The 24,064-nt window shown below is 49.2% G+C and overlaps 2 protein-coding genes across 12 annotated transcripts in view, besides 3 other annotated features; one reads left to right on the top strand and one right to left on the bottom strand.

The window, feature by feature from the left end:
* Positions 1-11,977, top strand: part of GRHL3 (grainyhead like transcription factor 3) — a 45,126-nt gene extending 33,149 nt beyond the window's left edge. For 5 of the 6 annotated variants that reach the window (NM_001195010.2, NM_198173.3, XM_011541870.3 and 2 more), the window contains one exon: positions 1,869-2,813. In NM_001195010.2, the coding sequence (NP_001181939.1) occupies positions 1,869-1,983 (115 nt within the window). In that variant the 3' untranslated portion in view covers positions 1,984-2,813. Of the gene's footprint in view, positions 1-1,868; positions 2,814-11,679 lie in introns of those variants that run through there. The other variant, NM_198174.3, reaches the window with a different exon arrangement.
* Positions 4,494-24,064, bottom strand: part of STPG1 (sperm tail PG-rich repeat containing 1) — a 58,046-nt gene continuing 38,475 nt past the window's right edge. For all 6 annotated transcript variants that reach the window (XM_011542403.3, NM_001199012.2, XM_047433681.1 and 3 more), the window contains 4 exons: positions 21,197-21,305; positions 17,169-17,334; positions 8,346-8,536; positions 4,494-6,114 (listed from right to left, as the gene is read on the bottom strand). In XM_011542403.3, the coding sequence (XP_011540705.2) occupies positions 6,038-6,114; positions 8,346-8,536; positions 17,169-17,334; positions 21,197-21,305 (543 nt within the window). In that variant the 3' untranslated portion in view covers positions 4,494-6,037. The remainder of the gene's footprint in view (positions 6,115-8,345; positions 8,537-17,168; positions 17,335-21,196; positions 21,306-24,064) is intronic.
* Positions 12,312-13,511: an enhancer, noted in NCBI's record as "P300/CBP strongly-dependent group 1 enhancer chr1:24691307-24692506 (GRCh37/hg19 assembly coordinates)". NCBI's record gives its function as "activates an origin of replication core promoter dependent on BRD2, BRD4, P300/CBP, MED14 and CDK7 cofactors, with strong dependence on P300/CBP, by STARR-seq in HCT116 cells {active_cell/tissue: HCT116}" and the evidence as "EXISTENCE:reporter gene assay evidence [ECO:0000049][PMID:35650434]".
* Positions 12,714-13,008: an enhancer, noted in NCBI's record as "tiled region #15224; K562 Activating DNase unmatched - State 4:PromP". NCBI's record gives its function as "activates a minimal TATA promoter and a strong SV40 promoter by Sharpr-MPRA in K562 cells {active_cell/tissue: K562}" and the evidence as "EXISTENCE:reporter gene assay evidence [ECO:0000049][PMID:27701403]".
* Positions 12,773-12,822: an enhancer, noted in NCBI's record as "active region_397". NCBI's record gives its function as "activates an Ori minimal core promoter by ATAC-STARR-seq in GM12878 lymphoblastoid cells {active_cell/tissue: GM12878}" and the evidence as "EXISTENCE:reporter gene assay evidence [ECO:0000049][PMID:35858748]".

A 24,064-nucleotide genomic window follows, 5' to 3' on the forward strand; every position in this document is an offset into this window, starting at 1 on the left:
AAGAGGGGTCTGTGGGCCCATCTGGAAGCCCTCTTGTGCAGGTGTGAGCAGGTGTGAGCTTGGCAGATGTGAGCAGGTGTGAGCTCAGGGCGCTGGAAGGCCCTGCTAGGGAGTGGGACGGATCCAGCCTTCCAGCTGGTACATATCAGTTACTTCACAGTGCCTGGCACCTAGAAGCACGCAATCAATGGCAGACAAAACAACCCTGATTTTGAAAAAGGACCCACCCCTCTGCCCAGTTCTGGTCTCCCCTGGTCTGTTTCCGACCTCCCGTGCCCAAAGAGCCCTCTGTGAAATGAAGGAACTCCAGGCAGGACCCAAGAAAGGGGAGCCTATGATTACACATTGGCAGTCAGCGCTCAAACCACTGACAGCCCAAGCCTGGACCTTCTTCCTGAGAGCGGCAGGGAGAGACAACTGGATGTGGGCCATGCCTTCGGGTCCATGTTGTCTCCATTGCCCTCGGGGGGTCCTCGTGCCTGCCGCTCCTGCGCCACTTCAAAGAACTCTCCCATAGCCCTGGATTTTGCCTTCCTTCTATCTGCTGCTTCTTAACTTGTATTTATAGGGCTTTGTTTCCTTCTAAAAATGATACAGTAGAAAGAGAAAAGGTTCAAATCCCAGCCCTGCCATCTATGAACTGTGTGACCTTAGACAAATAACTTTGTTTCTTTGAACCTCAGCTTCCCCATTTATGAACTGGGGTAATATGAGGATTCATCCTCCCAGTCCCTACTAGATTCAAAACTCCTGGAAGGCAGGAACTAGGTCTAATTCATCTCCATATGGTCCTTGTTTTTGAGCAAAGCCCTGCACATGGAAAGGCCTCAGTGAATATAGGGGATGAATGGGAAGATGACGGCAGGTGGGCAGGTGGATGGAGGATGGTGGATGGGTGGGGGTGTGGGTAGATGGTGCATGAGTGGGTAGATGGACGAGTAGATGCCAGGTAGGTGTGTGTGTGGGTGTGTAGTAGAGGGTAGATGGGGGTGTGTATGGGTGGGTAGATGGTGGATGGGGGTGTGGTTGGGTGGGTGGATGATGGATGGGGAGTGTGTGTATGTGAATGAATGGTGGATGGTGAATGTGTGGGTGGATATACCCAACTCCATTACATGCTCAGAAGACAGCAGGGAAGGGGCAAGGAGAAGGTTGATGTGATCAGCTCAAGTCACATCTTGGTGGGTCCTTCATCAGGAGCAGCTTCTAGAGGGCTGCTCTTTCTTTGGCATAAACAATGGCTCTGACTCCCTGCAGGGGCCCACAGCCATGAAGATTCCGTCTCTCTCAGGTTGACCCAGGTCCTTGCCTGGAGAATATGGGGAGAGAGTGGGCCTAGCCCCTCAAGTCTATCGGACAATCCTCCTGAGATTTCAGCTTCCTGGGAATGGAACTGGGAGGGGCTTGTGTGGCACCTGCCTCTGGCTCAGGCATGCCTGAGGGACACATCCTAGCCTCTTGTTGAACCCAACCCACCACCCCTCCGGGGCTTGAACTCACACTTCATGTCCGAGTCCTCAATATGGTGACTAAGGGAGCACTGCGTCTCCCCCAGATCTACATACTAGTTGCTTGAGTGTCCATCCTCGGGTGTACCAGGAGAGAGGCAATCCGGCGCAGTAGCTGTGAGTGTGGGGGCCAGCAGGCCTGGGTTGGGTTGTGGCTCGGCCACTGGGCATTGTGCAGTAAAGGAGACTGTGACTCCCTCACCTCGTGGGGTTGTTGTGAGGATCAGAGGGAAGGTTTGTGAGGTGCCTAAAATGTGGCAGGTACCCACTGGGTATGACCCATCACTCATCCTGGTCACTCAGAAGGCCTGAAAACAGGGCGCCTGCTGTGTTCCAACCACATCCCCTCTTCCATTCCAGAATCTTAGTCAACATGGACAACAACATCATTCAGCATTACAGCAACCACGTCGCCTTCCTGCTGGACATGGGGGAGCTGGACGGCAAAATTCAGATCATCCTTAAGGAGCTGTAAGGCCTCTCGAGCATCCAAACCCTCACGACCTGCAAGGGGCCAGCAGGGACGTGGCCCCACGCCACACACAACCTCTCCACATGCCTCAGCGCTGTTACTTGAATGCCTTCCCTGAGGGAAGAGGCCCTTGAGTCACAGACCCACAGACGTCAGGGCCAGGGAGAGACCTAGGGGGTCCCCTGGCCTGGATCCCCATGGTATGCTTGAATCTGCTCCCTGAACTTCCTGCCAGTGCCTCCCCGTACCCCAAAACAATGTCACCATGGTTACCACCTACCCAGAAGACTGTTCCCTCCTCCCAAGACCCTTGTCTGCAGTGGTGCTCCTGCAGGCTGCCCGTTAAGATGGTGGCGGCACACGCTCCCTCCCGCAGCACCACGCCAGCTGGTGCGGCCCCCACTCTCTGTCTTCCTTCAACTTCAGACAAAGGATTTCTCAACCTTTGGTCAGTTAACTTGAAAACTCTTGATTTTCAGTGCAAATGACTTTTAAAAGACACTATATTGGAGTCTCTTTCTCAGACTTCCTCAGCGCAGGATGTAAATAGCACTAACGATCGACTGGAACAAAGTGACCGCTGTGTAAAACTACTGCCTTGCCACTCACTGTTGTATACATTTCTTATTTACGATTTTCATTTGTTATATATATATATAAATATACTGTATATATATGCAACATTTTATATTTTTCATGGATATGTTTTTATCATTTCAAAAAATGTGTATTTCACATTTCTTGGACTTTTTTTAGCTGTTATTCAGTGATGCATTTTGTATACTCACGTGGTATTTAGTAATAAAAATCTATCTATGTATTACGTCACATTACTTCACATGCTGCTCTCGTTCCTTTTGGGAGAGTCTGCTGGAAAGAGATGGCTACATTGGTCGGGGCCTCGCTCCTCTTTCTCCCTTCGCTCTGGCTCTGTGCGGAGAACGGGTTGCCCTGGACTTGAAGGATGCTGGGACGTGCAGGGCACCGGTGGAGCAGAGGTGCCCCCTCTGGAAGGCAGCAGATTCCTGATGCCCAGATGTTTGTGTTTGAATGTTACAGCCTCAGGATCATTGACTCTGCAGAGAAAGTCCTGGGAAGGGTGTAGAATGAGCTTGAAGAGGACCTCACAGCTGAGGCCATCAGGCAGCACCCAAGGCTGGGAGCCACATGACCTGAGTCTTGTGCCAGCTCTGCGCCTACTCTCTAGGCCAAGCCACGTTCCCTGCAGCCAGCTCCTACAGCTCACAGAAGCAATTGCAGGTATCTCTTCCCAACTCTGAAGGAGTGTGGTCATGTTGGCACATTGAAATCAGCCATGGTGACAGTCAGAAATTGACAAATGCTACAAATCAAGGCCTTTATTTTCCTTAGAGAACAAATCACAGATTCAGGCTTGCTTTCTTTTCATTTATCTTTTTTTTTTTTTTTTTCTTGCGATGGAGCCTCGCTTTGTCACCCAGGCTGGAGTGCAGTGGCATGATCTTGGCTCACTGCAACCTCCGCCTCCCGGGTTCAAGCGATTCTCCTGCCTCAGCCTCCTGAGTAGCTGGGACTACAGGTGCCTGACACCACGCTTGGCTAATTTTTGTATTTTTAGTAGAGACGGGGTTTCACCATATTGGCCAGGCTGGTCTCGAACTCCTGACCTTGTGATCCACTCGCCTCAGCCTCCCAAAGTGCTGGGATTACAGGCGTGAGCCACTGCACCTGGCCAGTTTTTGTCTCTTTTAGATCAGTTCCTCCATTGCCTCATTTATCTTTTTTTTTGTTTTTTTGAGACGGAGTCTGGCTCTGTCGCCCAGGCTGGAGTGGAGTGGCACGATCTCGACTCGCTGCAAGCTCCGCCTCCCGGGTTCACGCCATTCTGCCTCAGCCTCCTGAGTAGCTGGGATTACACGTGCCCACCACCATGCCCGGCTAATTTTTTGTATTTTTAGTAAAGATGGGGTTTCACCGTGTTAGCCAGGATGGTCTCGATCTCCTGACATCATGATCCACCCACCTCGGCCTCCCAAAGTGCTGGGATTACAGGCGTGAGCCACCGTGTCCGGCCACATTTATCTTTTTTAAGCTGCCAAGTTGAAGTGGGTCTTTCTTCCTTTGGGAGAGCAGACTTACCAGCCACTGCTACCTGTAGCCCTCAGTTTCTTTGGCTATAAAATGCAGGTCATGATCTCTGTTGGTTGTTTGTAATTATCATCTTCAGAGCCTCAGGGCTCACTGGTGGGTCTCCAAGGCCACTACAATGCGAGGAAGGGGCTGCAGCAGTCCCTGCGTACCCTCCCTAACTCCATCACTGCAGCTCTGCTTCTCTCCACTTAAATATTTGGGTTTCTCGTAAACATCTGTCTGAGTAAAACTTTTTTTAAAAAGGTGTGAAAACCATGATCCCTCTAAGAACCTCCCAGCGCTGACAGTCTGTGGTCCTAATTCCCAAGCCCCTACCTAGAGTCAAGGCTATGGGCAGGTGAGTCTCTAGCCTAAGGCACAAAAATTAAGGGGTACCCAAAAGCTCAATAAGCAAGATAAATAAGTTTAATGCAATATTTTTAAAATTAAGGCCCCCCCCCCCAAAAAAAAAATCCATGGTGAACAAAACATCACAGTTTTAAAGACAGGATTCGTATTACTGATGTTTCCTTTTGCCTCGGGTTCCCATTAGGCTTGCCTGCCCCTGTGGGAGGGACCCAGTGGGGCACCCAGAGTTGCTCTGCCCAGGCGAGGCCTCACTGTGGCTGTGACGCACCCTTGATGTCAGAACGAGGTGATGTGTGAAGGTTAAATGACAGAGGAGTGTGGAACCACAGCCATGCTGTAGGTGCTCCAGGTGCTCTGCGTGTACAAAGTTCCCACCTCCTGAACTTCCCACCCAGCTCCCCTCCCAGAGCCAGTTAGGAAGCTGGAAGGTGGCGCTTCTCAACCTACACCTATCATTGGAATCACCTGGGTGGCTCCTGCCTCCCCACTGCCCAGACCCCACCCTGGAGGAGTTAAATCAGCATTTGTGGGTGGGCCCCAGGCCTCAGTACTTTTTAAAGTCCCCAGGTGATTACAGTGTGCAGTCAAGGCTGAGAACCACTTCTCTGGAGAGGCCACAGTTGTACAGGCCTTGGAGGCTTTGTAACCTCTCGGTATCTGGCGGGGTTAATGTACAGAAAGACTAAACAGCGTCAGTCAAAGCCTGCTGGGAGATCAGAAAAGGAGCCTGGCAGCTCCCCACCCACCGCGAATCTGTGCAGCCTCCACCAAAACCACTAGGGCACATTTCTTTTTCCCTCCACATAGAGAGACGAAAGCTATCAGGCCTAGACAGGCCATGTGGACTCCATGGAAGGGCCTGTAAGCCTTGAGAAAATTCAGTCCCGCCAGCAGAGAAAGTCAGGGAAAAGCGCAGCCCCCGGGCCCGGCCACTGCCATTCCAAGATGATCTCCCACTCCAAAGAGAAAAAGGTCTAAAAGGAGTAAAGAGAGGTCTTTCCAAACAGGTGGTCACTTTAGAAAGGAAGCTGTGGACTGGTGGAAAAAGCATCACCTGCCTGCAGGTAGCTTTCGCCCAGTAGACATACCGTAAGTGAGTGAGGTCAGAAAGGGACAAATGAGAAAGGCAGGAGTGAGGGAATGAATGAATGTGTAAATGAATGAAGGAATGAAACAGGGAAGGGTGGGGCTTCCAGGCTTGGCCACCTTCAGGGTGGACTGATCCTCCTTGAAGTCTGCGCTTCAGGAGTCCCTTCAGTCTGCGGCAGGGAGTCGTGCCGGAAGGCAGCCTGGATGGGTGCGTGGGGAAGCAGCCAGGGGGCTCTGTCCACTCCTCCCTTCTGCTCAGGAAGCCACTGGAGTCTGTGGGGCTGGGGTGAAGTCTCCAGGGAGCAATGTCTCCAGCTCAAGACAAAGGCAATGGCAGCAGTCCGGCTAGGATGCCAGGCCAGAGTGGTAGAGCCACCCCCCAAGTTGTCAGCTGCCACACTCATGATCGGTCTCCTCCTGAGGAATGTCCTGGGGACGCTGGGCAGGGTGGGCTGGTGGCTGGAGTTCTCCTTGACCTTGTGTGACATCCCTACAGAACCGGGATCCATTTCTTGTCCTCGTTGTAGAGGAAGGACTGCTTTCCTGGAAGCTCTGGCTTGTACGTAGCTGTGAGGGGACAGAGAGGCGGAGGCATTAAGAGAGAAAAGGCCCATTGCTGCAGTCTCTGGCATTCTACCTCAGAGCTGGAAAGGCCTGGGGACCCCTGTGCCAGCCCCTGTATCTTACACGTGGGGAGACAGAGAGGAAGGAACTGGCCCGAGGTTATTTGGCTCTTAACTGGCCCAGGGGAAGTCAAACTCTGACTTCCTGCCTTCTTTAATTCTTTTCAACTTCTTTAACAGAACAAAATTTACAAAACTATTTTCTATGAAATTCGAAAAGAAATTGAGTAAAGCAATATTCTTAAAGAAGCAAGGTGTTAGCTTCATGGGGTCTTGTTTTGATCTAGTTCAGGGGTTTCCATAAAAGCAGAAGCCATGACAATTGCGGACATGGTTCTATAGGAGATGAGCAGGGCTTGGGAACTGTAGCCCCAGGTGACCAGAAACTCATGTTGATACTGACTTGGTTAATGAGGGTCCCGTGCACAGCCTCTCTGTTCCTATACTTGGAAAGCCGCTCAGGGGAGCCCATGGTAGTCCAGGTATACCTGAGTTTACTGGAAGCTGAGCAGGCAGATGCCGGCACGTGCACGTGCCCAGGAAACCCCTCGCAGAAGCCCACCTTGGCATGGGTGATCAGAGCGGCAGGAGCTGCCTGTCTCTGTGTGCCAGGTGCCTAGCACCACATACGGCATGGAAAAGTCATTCGGGCAATGCTTCCAGAGGATGTGGTAGAGCAGGGTCAAAGCAGGATCCCTGCCTATGCCCTACCCTCTCTGGAGCTCACCCCTTGTATGGAGCATTTGCATGTTTGCAATGCTGAGTTCTCCTCGACTGACTAGATGAGCCCCAGATCAAACCTCTACAGCCTTGCTGGTGTGATTATCACCACATTTGCAAGGCCAAAGCTAGGAGAATGACCTTCTCCTGGCCCAGTCTGCCTTATGTTAGTCTCACCTGTGAGTATGGAGCTGACGGCATCTCCCCACCTGACTGTGGCCTCTGGGGGCAAACCTGGGGCCCAGGTCATCTTGGCTCCCTCGCACGGGAGCATCGTCAACACTCACAGAAAGGCTGGGTGTAACCAAGCTGGCAGTCATCACAGCTCTGCCTTCATCCTCCCATGCCACCTGCCACACATGTCAGTCCCCAGTGCCACCAGCTTTGGCCATGGTCAGGCTGTGGTAATAGCGAAAGCGCTCTATAGAGAGCTACAAATAGGTCAGGAAGCACAGAGGCCGCCCACTGGACTGAGTCCCTCATGATATTAGCTCCCAGGTAGATCCCAGATGTAACAGGGGATCCCTACTTATGCTTGCCTGTAAAAAGAGTGTGGCGCTAGAAGGTTCAAAAGAGCTGCTCCGTTGGACAGTCCCTGGTTAATTTCATGAACAAACAAGGCATAAATGGGGAAACACCTGGCACTGCCCGCCACGAACTCGCTGCGGACCTGTGGCCCACCTGCTCTCCAGGGCTTCCTCAGCTGTAAAATAACCTGGCCACACTAGACCAGTAGTTTAAATATTTTTAAGAAAAAGAACTTTTCTGGCTGGGCACAGTGGCTCACGCCTGTAATCCCAGCACTCTGGGAGGCCAAGACGGGCAGACCAGTTGAGGTCAGGAGTTCGAGACCAGCCTAGCCAACATAGCGAACCCCTGTCTGTCTCTGCTAAAAATACAAAAAGTAGCTGGGTGTGGTGGCATGTACCTGTAATTCCAGCTACTTGGGAGGCTGAGGCATGAGAATTGCCTGAACCTGGGAGGCGGAAGTTGTGAGCCAAGACCGCACTACTGCACTCCAGCCTGGGCGATACAGCGAGACTCCGTCTCAAAAAAATAAAAGTAAAAAAAATTAATAATAATAAAGAAAAAGAACTTTTCTGACACTCTGACAAAAGCTATGGCCTCCTTTCCCAGAAAATAATGTCTATATGTGCCAATTCTTCAGCCAACTGCAGAGTCACAGACCCCTTCAAGACTATCTTTGAATCTTTTAGATGTTCATGGTCCTCAGTATGAATCCCTGGCCTGGACCATCTCTAAGAGCCCTTTCACCTTAAAAAACAAAACATTTTTGTACTGTGAAAATGTGAACTGATAATGCTTCCAAATCTACCCTCATCCCTGTAACCTATTTGGGAAACAACCTATAAATCAATGGCATTTGATGACCCAAGAATGACAAACAGTTCCAGAAGATTTGGTTTTTACAATCATTTAAAACAATCCTCTGACCTGGGCCAGGCAGGCCTGGCTGAGGCGGCGCCGCTGTCCACCGGCTGGTATTGGACACGAATGATGCACTAGAGATGAAATGCTTGCGGGGGCCTAAGTAGTCCACGATCTCATACTGACCAGGACCTGGGAAAGGTGGCTTCGGAGGCAGAGGCGAAGGCTGAGCAGAGAAGTTCAGGATGGGGTTTTTCCTTTGGGAAAGATAAAACGGGAAGATGTCACTAAGGCAGTCTAGTGGGGAAGGCACAGTTTCTAGACACAGCCAAGACCTGCACAGCAGCAAGCTGTCTGGAAGAGGACTGGTCACGGCACTGGGGCAGAGCCCTAGCTCCACTGGTAGTGAGCTGGGGACCCCTGGATCTGTTTCTTCATCTGCACATGGCAATCATGATGGGACCTACTTTGAGGTCAGGGTTGTCAGGATAAATGAGATGACGTACCTAAAACACAGTACTCAGGATAGGCCTGGCACACAGTGAGAGCTCAGTGTGCATTGCTGGAGATGTGGAGCTAACCAGAAATGGCAGGCCGTGTATATCTCATGTGCCAACTCTGATTGATTGGTAGTGCCTGGCTGGAGTTCTGTGAAAAAAACTGAGGCCTCATATGGACTCAATGGGAAGAGGCCTTAGTGACCCACTTGTGATGCCTGCCATGGTCAGGGAAGAGAAAGAAGCATCCCACATTCCACAGATTTGCCATCCCAAGACCAGCAGGTCTTTAGAGGCCACTGTAACATTGACATTCCAGAATCCTACTAAATATCATCCTGGGGAGGCAGGAGGCAGGAGTGGAAAAGCACCGGGCTGGAAATCAAGAGACTCTGCATAACCCTTTACCACTCACACCGCCATTGTTTTCAAGTCTGTCTTCCCCTCCTTCCAGAAAGGGAGTCTATCTTTTATCTCTGATATTGAGACATGAAATGAAAGACCGGACCTGTACTTGAGTCCTAGCTTGGTCACTAACTCATTCTGGGCCTCAGTTTCCCCATCTGTAAAAGGAAGGGGTTGGACAAGATGACCTCTGAGGTCCCTTCCTGCTGTGACCTTTCATCAGGCCTTGATTCAAAGTTCCACTGGGTTGTCAGAGACTTCTGCGCTTGTTACAGGAATCATGCTACTCTCCCAACCATGTAATAGAAGGGCCGCCTCCTTCTGGCTCACACCCAAGGCTTCTTCTAAAAGGCTTCTCACCAAAAGGGGAGAGGAGGTTCTCCGCACTGAATGGCCAAGGGAGCCTTCCCCAGCTTCCCCCAGCACTCAATGACCAAGGGAGCCAGCCCATCCAAGCAAAGGAGGGGACTTGGGATTCCTGGCCACTGGGGCACTACTGCACTTTAGCCAACAACTTCTTAAACACAGAGAGCTTGAGGGGACCCAAGTGATGTCTTCTTCAACCTCCTTAGTTTTCTAAAAATGTTGGTGTCCGGAGAGACAAAGTAACCGATCCAGTTATAGGCACCTTTGTAGGAATGCTGGCATAGAACTCAAGTGTTTGGCACCTAGCAATATGGAGAAAGCATGATGGCGGAGGGGACTGAGTTTAAGGGTCACACACAAACCTGAGGCTGAATTCTAGTCATGCCACTTACTGGCTGTAAGACAAGGCCCCTGATTTCTCTATAGCTTAGCGTCAGTATACACAGCATTGCAAGGAACAATGACACTAACTTTATAAAGGAGTTACAATGAACAGAGAAAAGGTATGTAAAGCACCTAGTAGAGCACCAGCACATAGTAGGTGCTCAATAAAGGTAGTTGTTATTCTTCTGATGATCCCTGTGTCAGCATCAATGTGTGCTGCTTGGTGACAGACAGGCAACTGAGCCTCGTAAAAGACTGACAGGGCCCTTCCACCCCAGAGTCATGCTGAGGCAGGGGACACCCCCCTGGTCAGAGAGGACACTGAAAGCCATCATAAATGTGCTTGGGCTCACATCTTGTGGTGGAGGAGCAGCTGGCGTGGATGCTTATATTTAGAACAAAGGTACCCACAGGGAAAGGGGGGACATGCTGCCTCCCTGTTTGCTATGAATCTGCATGGAAGAACTGGTTACAGGGTGTAATCAACAACCTCTCCCCTTATAAATAAAAGCTGGCTTCTCCTTGTTCTGGCTTGTGGCTCCCCCTTCAAAACACCTCCAGACATTTGATGAGTTTGTGGCTGGCATCATGGAGAGACAGGTTTGATTCCTGGAAATTACAGCTGGAACAAATCAACCATTATATGAGGTCACCCCATCACTGGTCTGGGTCACTCCAAGCCCAAGATTCCCACCCTGTTCTTTGAGAAAACCATGAGGTGTCTGCTTTCTTAGCCAAGGACAGCCTGCAGAAGGCTGGAGCACGCTGAGTTAATGACTCACCAGTGTTCTTGGCAAGATGGGTTAGAGAGGTTTCTTGTCTTCCACTCCTTCAGTATGCCCAGGAGAGGCTCAGAACCTTCAGCCTAGCACTATGGATCTTTCATGAGCACCAGCCATGTGTGGGATTCTGGGCCAGGCATGCTTGGGAATCCAGGCAGTTCTGTACTAAGACACGGACTTGAGTGTCCTTAAGGGCTTGACAATCCGCTGCCAGCAACAGCCATGACTGGTGACAACTTCAGGCAGTACAGGCTTTGCACTCAGACAGAGCTGGGTTTGAATCCCCACTTCCCCGTTCAACAGCTATGTGTTCTTAGAAAAGGCTCTTAACCTCCTTAAGCCTCAATTTCCTCATCTGTAAAACAGTGGAAATAATACCTACTACCCAGATTGTTAGGAAGATTGTGCTTTACTTGTAACATTTGTTTAAAAACATGAAATCTGTTCGAATAGAGGTTAAAATAAAAAACTGCATTGAAAGCAGAGAGAAAGAGACAGAGACAGAGGGACATTAATTCCAACAAGATGAATCCAGAAATCCATCCAGAAATCCAGAAAATCTTCAGGTGGGGAAGAGCATTTCCAGCAGAGGGAACAGCAGGAGCAAAAGCATGGAATGGGGAAAGCTGTAGCTGTTATGGCAGGAATTGGGACACAAGGAGACAGACGCTGAGCACCTAGACTGCCTTCAACCCTCCATTCACCAGTGATTTCCTGGGTTGTTCACTTGCTTCTGATACTCCCCACTTACAAACCCTGATGAAAACTTAAAGGCAAGATCTATTTATGGCCTCTCAATCCAGCCTAATCTCCCATGTCCTGCTGCTTCCGTTTTACCTTCCAGAAACACCCAACACAACACAGTTCAGCAACTCCATGCCTTTGTCCCTGCTGTTCCTTCTGTGAGAAACACCAACTTTCCCTGCAAACTCGAATTCAATTCTTGACGTTCTCACTTTCTTCCAGGGAAACTTCTCTCCTCCACCCACGCCTGTCTCGCCACCCCCCACCTGACTGTCTTGAATGTTCCCATCCTGTGACTCAAGTGAGGAACATGGGTTTTGGAGATGGATTTTGGAGGCAGAGGGACCTGGATTCAAATCCCAGCCCCACCACCGTCAACAGCCTGCACTTCACTGTAAACTCGGAATGACACACCCACCTGGAGGAGAGGTGGAAGGACGACGGCAGGTCACATCTGAGAGCTCTCAGCTCAGAGTATGTGGCCCCTGAATACATTCTGGCTATTACTTTGCATTTAAAATGTTGCATTTTCTATGGCTTTTACTTGCCTAGCTCTTTAAGGGAAGGTATTGTGTCTTCCTCAGCTTTGAGGCCCCTAGCCCTATCCCGGGAACATTTGCTGAAGTGCAGAGAAAAGCAGAGGGCTGGCAGCATGTAAAGGAGCCCAGGCATCTGAGGCCCACATGACAGTTTCATCCTCATCCAGGGCTGGTCCCTCCATGTCGAGGTGGGGCTGACAAATCACAAAGGTCAGGCTGGATCAAACCCAGGGCAGCCCACAGTGCATTGTGACCAGGGCTTTTATGAGCCTCATTGCTCAGTTATAAAAGCCAACCTGGCCCTGCCCCGTGGAAAGAAAACATCTATCAAAGGCTCTGAGTTGGCCACAACTGGATTAAGTGTGTTTGCAGCTTCCAATGTGAGCTGTTTGCAAATCACCTAAGAATAATGAATGTCTTAGAGGACTCAGCAGGCCACTTGGGGAAAGCATCTGAGACCCTCCAGACACTCCCAGGCACACATTCACTCGCCTCAGGGATTCCCAGGGTTGGGAGGGATAAAGGGGCAATTTTTCTCATCATTAAAGGGCAGCCGATTGCCTCTGGGGTGGAATGCAGTATCTGTTTAACAGGGTAGCGGGTGACAGATTACAGCTGCTTGGGAAGAAGCATCCCATATCTAATTGAAAATCCCAGGGGAAGTTAGGGTGGGTCCAATCTAATTACCAAAATTGGAGTGGGGCCAACGGGGCTTGATTTTTCAGCTCTAGCTGTGACAAGACAGCGTGTCTGTGCAAATCCAGTGGCTTAAAACTCCAGGAAGCAGATCAAGGGTTAGAAAAATGGCCCTGAGTGTTGCACCTCCTTGCTGGGGAGCATGAGTTGGAAGGCATTGCCTAGGAGGAACTATTTTGATCTCCAAAACTCTCACCCTGACTCACCCTAAGTGATTGAGTCATCACTGTGACGGATATTGAAGACCTCAGAAGCGAAACCTTGGCTGATACTTCACTTTGCTTCTGAAGACACCCTGGAAGCTGAGAAGTCCTCTTAGCTTTGAGTCAGCAAGGTGGCCATGGCCAAGGAACACCCGATGGCATGACCTTTAGCTAAGGAGCTCAGAAATGCCAGTGCTAACAAACAGCCAGCCCCAAGCACAGCATCCGCCCTGCGGGGCCACACTAGAAACCCTAGGAAGACACAGAGGACCCGCTCACCTGCTTTGATAAAAATACAAGTTACCATGTGAATTTTGTGGGTTATCTCCTTTTATCCTTACAACCACATTATGAGGTGTTCTTATCCTGGTTCACCAAGGATGACTTTGAACCCACTGGGAGTTAAGTGACCTCCCTTCCCCCAGGCCCACAGGGCTGGTGAGCAGGGAAAGTGGAGGTTCCATGGTACTGACTTTGGGGCCTACGCTAATCAATCCACTGCCCACGCTGCCTCCATGGCCTCTTCAGGGGACGTGATCAGCCGTTCCCTGCCCTAATGGTGGCCTCCTGAGCTTTGGTCATATCCAGCCATCCTCTCACGGCTGGGCTTTACATTTTTTGGCCAGTAACATGAGACTAAAAACTCCAGGGAGAATTCATATCTGCACTGATGCTTCCTGCACCCTGAAGAAAGCAGATCCAGAAAAGCATTTCTGTAGCTGTAACTCTGCCCAAGAATGGGAAGCCCATCAACTCCAACCCAAGACAGATGAGGGCAGGTCTCCCCCTGCATGGCACGCGTGTGTTCCCGAGAAAGAAACATGGCGGCAAGTCACCGCCGCTCCACGTAGCCGTGGAGAGCTAAAGAGGATTAGTTCTGATGTGGACAAAGTCCTAAGGGAAGGTGCATGCAGATGGGGTCACCTCAGGGGTCTACTGACCTCAGGAACCCGTGTAGCTCCTGTCCCTCTCTTCCCTCCAGGGACACAGGAGAAAACAGAACTGGAATTTGAGAAACTGGATTTTGGATATTTCCTCAACACTCTGATATTCAGCTGTCTTTTCTTTTCATTACATCATTTTCTTCATCATTCATCGGGAACAGATAAATGTTTTTTTTAGAATAGTCCAAAGCCTACCAGTCTTATCTTCTTGCTTTCCAAATAAAATGATAAATTTCTTAGCTTCATCTTTCCCACGTTAATTTTAAAATACATAATCTGGACCTCCTCTGTGGGTCCAGGCTGGCTCCACGTTCGTTGTCCCCTGTGTGCTCTCCTGAGTCCATGGTGAGCAAACCTGGGATTCTGATGTGTCAGAAATGCAGACACCCTTCTTTCGCTTATAGAGAAATGAAGACCCAGAGAGGTGCCCAGAGCAGCCCCAGACCACAGAGCCAGCTATACAAATGTCGTGCTATAGAGCCTGGGGCACCATCCCCTCATCAGGGTGAACCCAAGTTTAGGAGACAGCGGGTTAATAGGTTCCTTTACTGCAGGCCTTCTCAGAGCCTTTAAGATGCCTGTGCAGACTGCGATGTTCTCAGGGGCAGAGGGTTACGATGCAGTGCTTCTCAGACTTATTAACCAAAGACCTTTTATTTGTGAAGCATTGACAGAGAGCCAGCGAGCCCTAGAAGCCCCAGACACGCAGTCCCGCTGCACTGCCCAGTGGGAAGACGGCCCCATGGGTTGTACATGGCCATACACCCCTGGGGCCACCTAACCCGGCATTTTGCTGCAGGCTCCTCCACCTGGCTTCGAGGCTGTTCCCAGATGAGGTTGGCTGGAGGCGTGGTGTCCTGTTCACCTGAGCCTCCAGTACAGAACTAGAAATCTATAGAGTCTGCTGACTGACAAATGCAAACGCCATAAAATAAGAACGATCTCAAACCACCTGTTCAAACTTGAGCAAAAGCCAGAAGATATTTCTCCAGATAAAGCAGTTAAAAATTGAGCATCCTCCACTCTTATGTTATTTCACCATTTTCCTTGAAGAAGCTTCCAAATTTGGGCTGGGGGCTTGAGCTGCCATGCCAAATAACAGCTGTATTGTATAATATAGCCTAGTAGGTCTATAGGATATACAATAACCACAGCTATCATTATAAGGGTAATAGCTATTTTCTTTCTTTTTGAGACCAAGTCTTGCTCTGTCACCCAGGCTGGAGTGCAGTGGCATGATCTCGGCTCACTGCAACCTCCACCTCCCCGGTTCAAGCAATTCTCCTGCCTCAGCCTCCTGAGTAGCTGGGATTACAGGCGCCCTCCACCACGCCCAGCTTTGTATTTTTAGTAGAGATGGGGTTTTGCCATGTTGGCCAGACTGGTCTCAAACTCCTAGCCTCAAGTGATCCATCTGCCTTGGGCTCCCAAAATGCTGGGATTACAGGCGTGAGTCACCATGCCCAACCGGTAATAGCTATTTTCCAACATCTTCTCATCGAATCTTCATGGAATCCCTACGAGATAAGATCCTTATCTCTACTTAATAACATAAAACTGAGGCTCAGAGAGGAGAAGTCTCTGGAAGGTACAGAGCTGGGATTCATACTCTGGTCGGCCAACTCCAACACCTGTCCTCTTGACCACTCTTTCTCTGGCAGAGTAAGGGAATAGTTACTTGTAGAGATGCCGCATGCCAGCCTGGAGGCGGGAGGTCTCTGGAGAGAGACTTTCCAGAGACAGAGCTGTTCCTGGAGACTGGCCTGCCCCAGCCCCTAGCCCTACAGCCTGTACAAGGCCAGCCTGCAGAGCCCTAGACCTGGAGGGCAGAAGGGACTCCTCTGGTGGATTCCAGCTGAGGTCTCAATCCCCTCTCCAGATCTTAAGTTCGACTTGGCAGATTCACAACTTGCACCTCTCTCTAACTGTGGTCCCCTTGCCCTAGGCTGATGATCAGACTATGCCCAATGTTGGCAGCCTCCCTGGGTTGCCTGGACTTCTGACCCACTGTGGCTATGGCTCCTAACACCTGCCTGATCTCTCTGGAGGGGCCCAAGAGGATATATTGTTGGTCCCACCTGGCCAGCCCTCCCAGTGGCCAGCTCTGTCTGGAGGGGCTACGCATGGGTGAGAGCTGAGATGGTAACAGGAGGACTAACCCTAACTGCAGTTAGTTCCAGAAGTTCTAGAACCATTCGAGAAATAAATAAGCTCTGTGAGTATTTGAGCCTCTTAGGTGAGAGTAATATAAAATGTGTAGGATATTAAACAGGGTAACAAAAATCCCTGTATTTACTTTTAAAAATCTGTGTTAATTTTGAGTCACCAGCTGCAATGCCAATGCCAAACATATATTTTATTTACTTTTTTTGTTTTTTGAGACAGGGTCTCACTCTGTCACCCAGGCTGGAGTGCAGTGGCGCAATCTCGGCTCACCACAATCTGGGCCTCACAGGTCCAAGTGATTCTCCTGCCTCAGCCTCCCGAGTAGCTAGGATTACAGGCGTGCACCATCATGCCTGGATAATTTTTGTATTTTTAGTAGAGACAGGGTTTCACCATGTTGGCCAGACTGGTCTCGAACACCTGATCTCAAGTGATTCGCCCACCTCGGCCTCCCAAAGTGCTGGGATTACAGGCGCAAGCTGCTGCGCCCAGCCAAACATGTATTTTTAATTCTGAAAGCAAAATCCTACGAGGCAGGAATTATTCCCACCTTACAGATGAGGGCATGGAGGCTCAGAGAGGTTAGAACTCTGCCCAAGGTCACAGAGCATAAAAACAGCAGAGCTGAAGTACAAATCCAGCAGGTATCACCAACTCGAAAGTCAGGGCTTAAACTTCCATCGGTATAAAGCTATGAGAGCTTGACTGCTTCTGAATGTCCTGCCACTCCAGCGAAGATTTTATGTTACAAAAATAGAACAATGTCAGCACCAGGGGAATCCAGCATCACAGGGAATGAGGAAAGACTTAGTCCTGAGCCAATTCCCTGTGGCTCCTCAAGTTGGCTGTGTGGACTTGGGCAAATGTCCCGCCAAATCCGAAGCCTTGCTTCCTCCTCTATGGGGTAAGAGTAACAATTCTTACAACAGGATTATAATAATAATTGAATACAATTTTAAGTTCCTGGCACACAGTGGTTGCTCAATAAGTATCAGGCATTCAACAGGCATTTACTGAGCATCATTATGTGTGACTAAGGGCCCCTGAAGAGAGTGGCCCGGCACTGTGCTCTGCCAAGCAGTGACACCCCATCCTTTTCTCTATGTTGGGCTTCTTCCCCACAACCACCTTTCAAAAGAAAGACCAGAATGATTGGGACTCACGGGAAAAGAGTCTTTTTTGGAACTTTTGTGCAATCACTGGGGTTGTAATAACCAGGTCCCGGGCCTGTTGACGTCAGTTTTAATCCACGGTTGGTTTTTGATTTAAAACAAGACATTAATGTATTTGGCGACTGCTTCACAAGGGATTCGTTGATATCATAATGCCCTAAGGAGAAAGAAATTTTAGGACAGAATAAGGAACTCTTCTCAAGTAAATAAAAAGCAGTACCTTACCCCTAAGAACACACCTGATGGCTGCAAGGCACCATCACTCTAGGATGGCCAAGTGGAAGGGCTGACTGAGATAGCCAAAAACAATCCTCACCATGCAGAGAACAGATGGCACGGGAAGCACACACTTAGCTGATTTAGTTCTCGCACTAGCCTGGCAAGATGAGTATTACTGCTTTCATTCTACACATGGGAAACTGAGACTCAGAGATTGTTAAATAATTTGCCAAAGGACATTCATCTAACCAGGGACTTAGACAAATCTCTCCACCTTGCTGGAGCCCAGTTTTCCTTCTCTATAAACTAAGAATAATAATTCTTCTGACAACAGAGTTGTTATGACAGTTGAATAATATTTTAAGTTCCTAGCACATAGTGGATGCTTTGTAAATATCATGCAATCAACAACTATCTTTTTTTTTTTTTTTTGAGATAGGGTCTTGCTCTCTTGTCCAGGCTGGAATGCAGTGGCACAATCACAATCACAGCTCACTGTAGCCTTGACCTGCTGGGCTCAGTGATCCTCCCATCTCAGTCTCCCGAGTAGCTGAGACTACAGGTATGTACCACCACACCCTGCAAATTAAAAAAAAAATTTTTTTTTTGAGACAGAGTCTCGCTCTGTCGCCCAGGCTGGAGTGCAGTGGCGTGATCTCAGCTCACTGCAAGCTCTGCCTCCCAGGTTCACGCCATTCTCCTGCCTCAGCCTCCCAAGTAGCTGGGACTACAGATGCCCACCACCACGCCTGGCTAATTTTTTGTATTTTTAGTAGAGATGGGGTTTCACCATGTTAGCCAGGATGGTCTCGATCTCCTGACCTCGTGATCCGCCTGCCTCGGCCTCCCAAAGTGCTGGGATTATAGGCGTGAGCCACTGTGCCCAGCTTTTTTTTTTTTGTAGAAATGAGGCCTCATTATTTTACCCAGGCTGGTGTTGAACTTGTGAGCTCAAGCAATCCCCCCACCTCAGCCTCCCAAAGTGCTAGGACTACAGGTGTGAGCCATCATGCCCAGCTAACATGTATGTGTTGAGCACCACTATGTAGAGACTGGTCTGCTTGTCTCCAAAGCCCACACTTCCCCACCACACCACAATGCCCTGTCTCAAGAAACTGTGACAGAATAAAATGAATTTGTGTACAAAGCTTTAAGGAAGAAGAGAATGACCAAAACTGGGGTGAAGAGGAAGCGATCTCACCCCTAAGTTGTCAGTAGCCCTGTGAATGGATGTTCTCCACCACTCTATTCATATTAGCAATCAATTCAAAATAATCACAATTTTCAATAAGACAATACTGGCTCCTTAATTTATGGTACTATCATATAAGAATATACTATATATTTATTTAAAATGATGTTCCGAAAGGATTTTTACTAACATGAAAAGACGTTCCCAGTATCAGCCGGGTACGGTGGCTCACACCTATAATCCCAGCACTTTGGGAAGGCAAGGTGGGCAGAACACTTGAGGTCAGGAGTTTGAGACCAGCCTGACCAATATGGTGAGACACCATCTCTACTAAAAATATTTAAAAAATTAGCCAGGTGTGGTGGTGTGCACCTGTATTCTCAGCTGTTCTGGAGGCTGAGGCAGGAGAATCACTTGAACCCAGGAGGCGAAGGTTGCAGTGAGCCGAGATTGCACCGTTGCTCTCCAGCCTGGGCAACAGAGCGAGACTCCCTCTCAAAAAAAAAAAAAAAAATGTTCCCAGTATATGCTTAAATTTTTAAAGAAGCAGATGTCAGCAGCATTTACAATACTGGATAACTATCTCTCATATTCTCTGTTTTGTATATATATTTCTACTAAAAAGGTTATAGCAACACTTGAATTACAAAATACAGAAAACAATGAAAAGCAAAAGCAAGGAATAGAAGGCATTTATGCTGCCACTACCAGAGAGAGCCAGCCGCCAGGAAGCTGGGGTGGAGGGTGAGCTGAAGGTACCAGATATTGAACTAGATGAGCCTGGATTAAAATCCAGCTGTGGGGCTGGGCGTGGTTGCTCACACCTGTAATCCCAGCACTTTGGGAGGCCGAGGCAGACGGATCACTTGAGGTCAGGAGTTTGAGACCAGCCTGGCCCACATGGTGAAATCCTGTTTTTACTAAAAATACAAAAGTTAGCCGGGCGTGGCGGCGCATGCCTGTAATCCCAGCTACTTGGGAGGCTGAGGCAGGAGAATCACTTGAACCCGGGGGGCGGAGGTTGCGGTGAGCCGAGATCGTGCCACTGCACTCCAGCCTGGGTAACAGAGCAAGACTCCATCTCCAAAAAAACAAAACAAAACAAAACAAAAACAAAAAAATCCAGCTGTTGGACACTGGGCCTGTCACCTGCTTTTCTATCTCCTCTGCCTGTGAAGTGGGGATAAAAGAAGAAGAAGAGCTCACACTTTCTGAGCCCATGATTATGTGGTGAGTACCTGCTCCATGGGGCTTTGGAGCATTCAGTGAGATAATGAATGTAAGGCCCCTGGCACCCACGGGGAGCTTAACAGATGCTAGTACCCACACTTCCCCTCCTGTTCTGTGTTATAAGGGGCTGGGGGCTTCTCAGGATCCCCCCACCCCGGGAGGGAGCAGGAGCAGGGGCAGACTGTGGAGGTGCCCACATCCCAGGGCTCACTGGCAGGGACTCTGGCCAACCCCAGGGATGCTGGCTTTGTTCTTCTGTATAAATAGACAAGGTGGGGTTTTGCCCATGGATGATGCAAGGCAGGAGAGCATGAACTGGGGCTGAGCCTCCTAATTAGCGCTGGTTTTGTTATTCAGCTTCAGATTGATCTTTTCAACTTTAATCTGGATTTGCTGAAATCTCACATGCACTACAATTTTATCCACACCCCTCTGCAAGAGGCATGATTGCAGAAGCAAACCTTCCCTGCTCCTCCTCCTGCTTCTGGGGCCCAAGGTTCCTGGGGCAGCTCTGGTGCCCAGGGCTTCTGGGGTTGGGGTGTGGTCTGTGGGACCTATTTGGGATAATCTAATATAATAAGTGCTCCAGCACTGGAGGTCAGAGAGCACAGGAGAGGTGCAACACCCTTCCCCAAGGCCGGCAGGGGAAACACTTGCAGGAAAGCTCTTGTGTATTCCTGAATCTTGGAGGTTCCAGAAGGGACAATGGAATGATGGAGGACGTGGGCTCGTTAGTGAGACCCCTCTGGGCTTGTGTCTGCCATTTACTGGCTGTGTGACACTGGGCAAGTCATTTCAACTCTCTGAGCCTCCACTTCCTCATCTGAAAAGTAGGGCTAAGTGGATGAACCTATGACGGCAGACCTGCAAGACTGCATGGAAACCACTCACCGTGGAGTGGGTGCTCCGGAAACAGAGCTGCCTCCTCTGTTTTATGACTGGATGATGAAGTCACCTCTAGCATAGGAGAAAATGAACGTGGCAGCTCAGTGTTGAAGGAACAGGATGTATGGTCATGCCCTGTATCTCCTGCCCCTCCCCAGTGGCCCCTAATGGCAGCTGGGGTATACGAATGTGCACATTTCTGAGGTGAGAAGCCACTTCTCCACTTGGCTGCCCAGAGCAGGTATGCCAGATCATAAAAGGGGAGGCCAGGAAGCTGCTTTGGAGGCCCATTTCCAGAGCCAGCCATTGTCCTCCTGGTGGGGATTGCTGGCTGTCTTCTCACCTCTCCTCTTTGTTCAGTACCTGCCTGCTACTCCTCCCCACCCAAAGACTAAATCCTTCCAAAGACTCCCTGTGAAGAAGTAGGTGCCCTGCAAATCAAATCTGGGACACTTAACCCTTAGGTCAAGGCCAGTGCAAAGCAGCTGCTTACCTGGGGGAGGTCCTTTATCAGCAAAAGCGAAAGATCCTCTTTGGGTTTTTGACATAAACCCGGCTCGAGTACAGACGTTGTTTCTCTGCTTGCAGCAAGAGACAGAGGCCTAGGGGGAGAAAATACACCCAATGTACTCAGTACCTTTCCTTTCTTTGTCTTCGTCATCATGCCTGGACAAGTGGCAAATCTACGTAAAAAAAATCAAACCGAAACCTGTCCTTCTTAGCAAATGAACAGATGTGAGCTGTAAACGTCACACTGGCTGTGGCTTCCCTGTCATCCCAGCTCAAGTGGTCTATGAGTTTGTGATCCCTGGAAAATGCTGGTCACTCAACAAGGAACAGAACACACAGCTAGCTGCAGGGTGGCTTCCAGGCTCACTTCTGCTAAGGACAGGCTGTGTGGCCCCGCATCAGTTCTGTAACCTCTCTGAAACCCAGTTTTCTCATCTGTAAAACGGATTGGACAGTCAGCTCCACTTGCTGTGGAGTTCTGTCAGGGAGTGGGGGTGGCCCAGCAGAGATCACCGCTAGGAAAGTGTTTTTTTTTTTTGTTTTTTTTTTTTTTTTTCTGAGACAGAGTCTTGCTCTGTCTCCCAGGCTGGAGTGCAGTGGCGAGATCTCCACTCACTGCAAGCTCTGCCTCCCGGGTTCACGCCATTCTCCTGCCTCAGCCTCCGGAGTAGCTGGGACTATAGGTGCCTACCACCACGCCCAGCTAATTTTTTTGTATTTTTAGTAGAGACAGGGTTTCACCATGTTAACCAGGATGGCCTCGATCTCCTGACCTCGTGATCCGCCCGCCTCGGCCTCCCAAAGTGCTGGGATTACAGGCGTGAGCCACTGCGCCCAGCCGGAAAGTGTTTTTTTTTAAGTGTGTAATGCTACACCCGCAAATTATCTTCATTATTGTTGCTACTTTTTTTTTGTTTGTTTTTGGAGACTGAGTCTCACTGTGTTGCCCAGGCTGGAGTGCAGTGATGCCATCTCAGCTCACTGCAACCTCTGCCTCCCGGGCTTAAGCAATCATCCCACCTCAGTCTCCAGAATAGCAGGGACTTCAGGCACACGCCACCACACCTGGCTAATTTTTTGTGTTTTTTGTAGAGATGGGGTTTCACCATGTTGCCTAGGCTGGTCTTGAACTCCTAGACTCAAATGATCTGCCCACCTCGGCCTCCCAAAGTGTTGGGATTACAGGCGTGAGCCACTGCACCTGGTTTTCTACTATTTTTACTGTTTTCAGGACACGTAGTCCTACCCATCCCCATCCTCATTCCTAGGTGCATTGCTCACTGTTCAAACAGCCCTTCTATAAATGCAGCATTTGGGGCACACAAGAAAGTCGTATCATTTAAGATTGTGATCACATTTGCAAGCATTCCCTTGTCTCAACTTTCCTGAACTGACCAGAAATTAAGAATTCTGGCCAACTCACGAAATACATTTGAGAGTGCGCGATGTGTTCAGAACTCTAAAAATAATAGGAAAAAAACCCTGAGATCATTCTTCTGTTACACGTGAATCATAAATATTTTAAATGCCAATTTGCGGTCTCCTGTATTCATTGGAGAACAGAGGCAATACAAATTAAACCTGTGATTGCTGGGGATATTTGCTGAATGAGTGAAACTATTTGCTGGGGCCAGGATGGTTTGATTTGCTGTGATACTCCTTTGTCAAAAAAAATGTTTCTCGAGAAATGCAGATGGCATTTTGATTTTGTGTTTACAAAGGTGGAGGAATTTAGCTTTTCCCAGGGCCCTAATGGCTAGACGGCATGCAGAGAGGGCAAACAAAGAGACCAGATGGGACAGGTTAATTACTGGACACGGAGAGTTGGGGAGAGGAGCCAGGTTGCCGGAGAGAAGGTAATAACACATTACCAAGGAAGAGGACTCGAATATACAAGTGAGGGATGGTGGCAGCAAAGGCAGAGAAAGGCTTTGACAGACCTCAAAGCACAGTGTGGCTAACAGGATTACTGCATTTCTACTCCTCACCAGTTGACTCAACCATTGTTCTCCTGGCCTGAAAAAAAGCCACCTGTAGACAAAACAGCACTTCAGCTTTATTTTTCACCCAGACAGAAAAGCAACTGAAAAAGGGAGCATTTTTGTATACGCTGAGTGTGTGTCGCTGGAAGATTTCCCCATGGGGCCAGGAAAATATTCAGCAGGTTAAAAAAGACTGAAGCAGATTTATTGTATTGCCATGGAAAGAAATCTAAGAAGAAAATGCATGTGTGCTGTGTACAGAATAATGCTAATACTGGTGGAGGGACAGAGGTAGGAGAGAATATGAAAGAAATTGCATCTGGTTTTTGTTTTGTTTTGAGATGGGGTCTCACTCTGCCACCTAGGCTGGAGTGCAGTAGTGTGATCTTGGCTCACTGCAACCTCCACTTTCCAGGTTCAAGCAATTCTCTTGCCTCAGCCTCCCGAGTAGCTGGGATTACAGGTGTGTGCCACCATGCCTGGCTTATTTTTGTATTTTTAGTAGAGGCGAGGTTTCACTATATTGGCCAGGCTGGTCTCAAACTCCTGACCTCAGGTGATCTGTCCACCTTGGCCTCCCAAAGTGCTGGGATTACAGGCGTGAGCCACTGTGCCTGGCCTGCACCTGGTTTTTGATGCAGTGGTTTCCCTTGGGAAGTAGAATTATAAGGGACTTCCACTTTCTAATTAATGGGTTTCTACAGGGCTTGAATATATTTTATGATGAGCGTGTATTATTTTCAGGGTCATATTAAGACAATAATGAACAAAAAACATGCGCCTAAATGTATCTATTGGCAGAAGGACACAATTCTATCTTGGGAAGAGGTCCTTTCTAGATTAACAGCTGCATACTACTGGAAAGTTAT

The sequence above is a fragment of the Homo sapiens genome, chromosome 1 (genome assembly GCF_000001405.40).
Source record: "Homo sapiens chromosome 1, GRCh38.p14 Primary Assembly".
Lineage (NCBI taxonomy): Eukaryota > Metazoa > Chordata > Mammalia > Primates > Hominidae > Homo > Homo sapiens.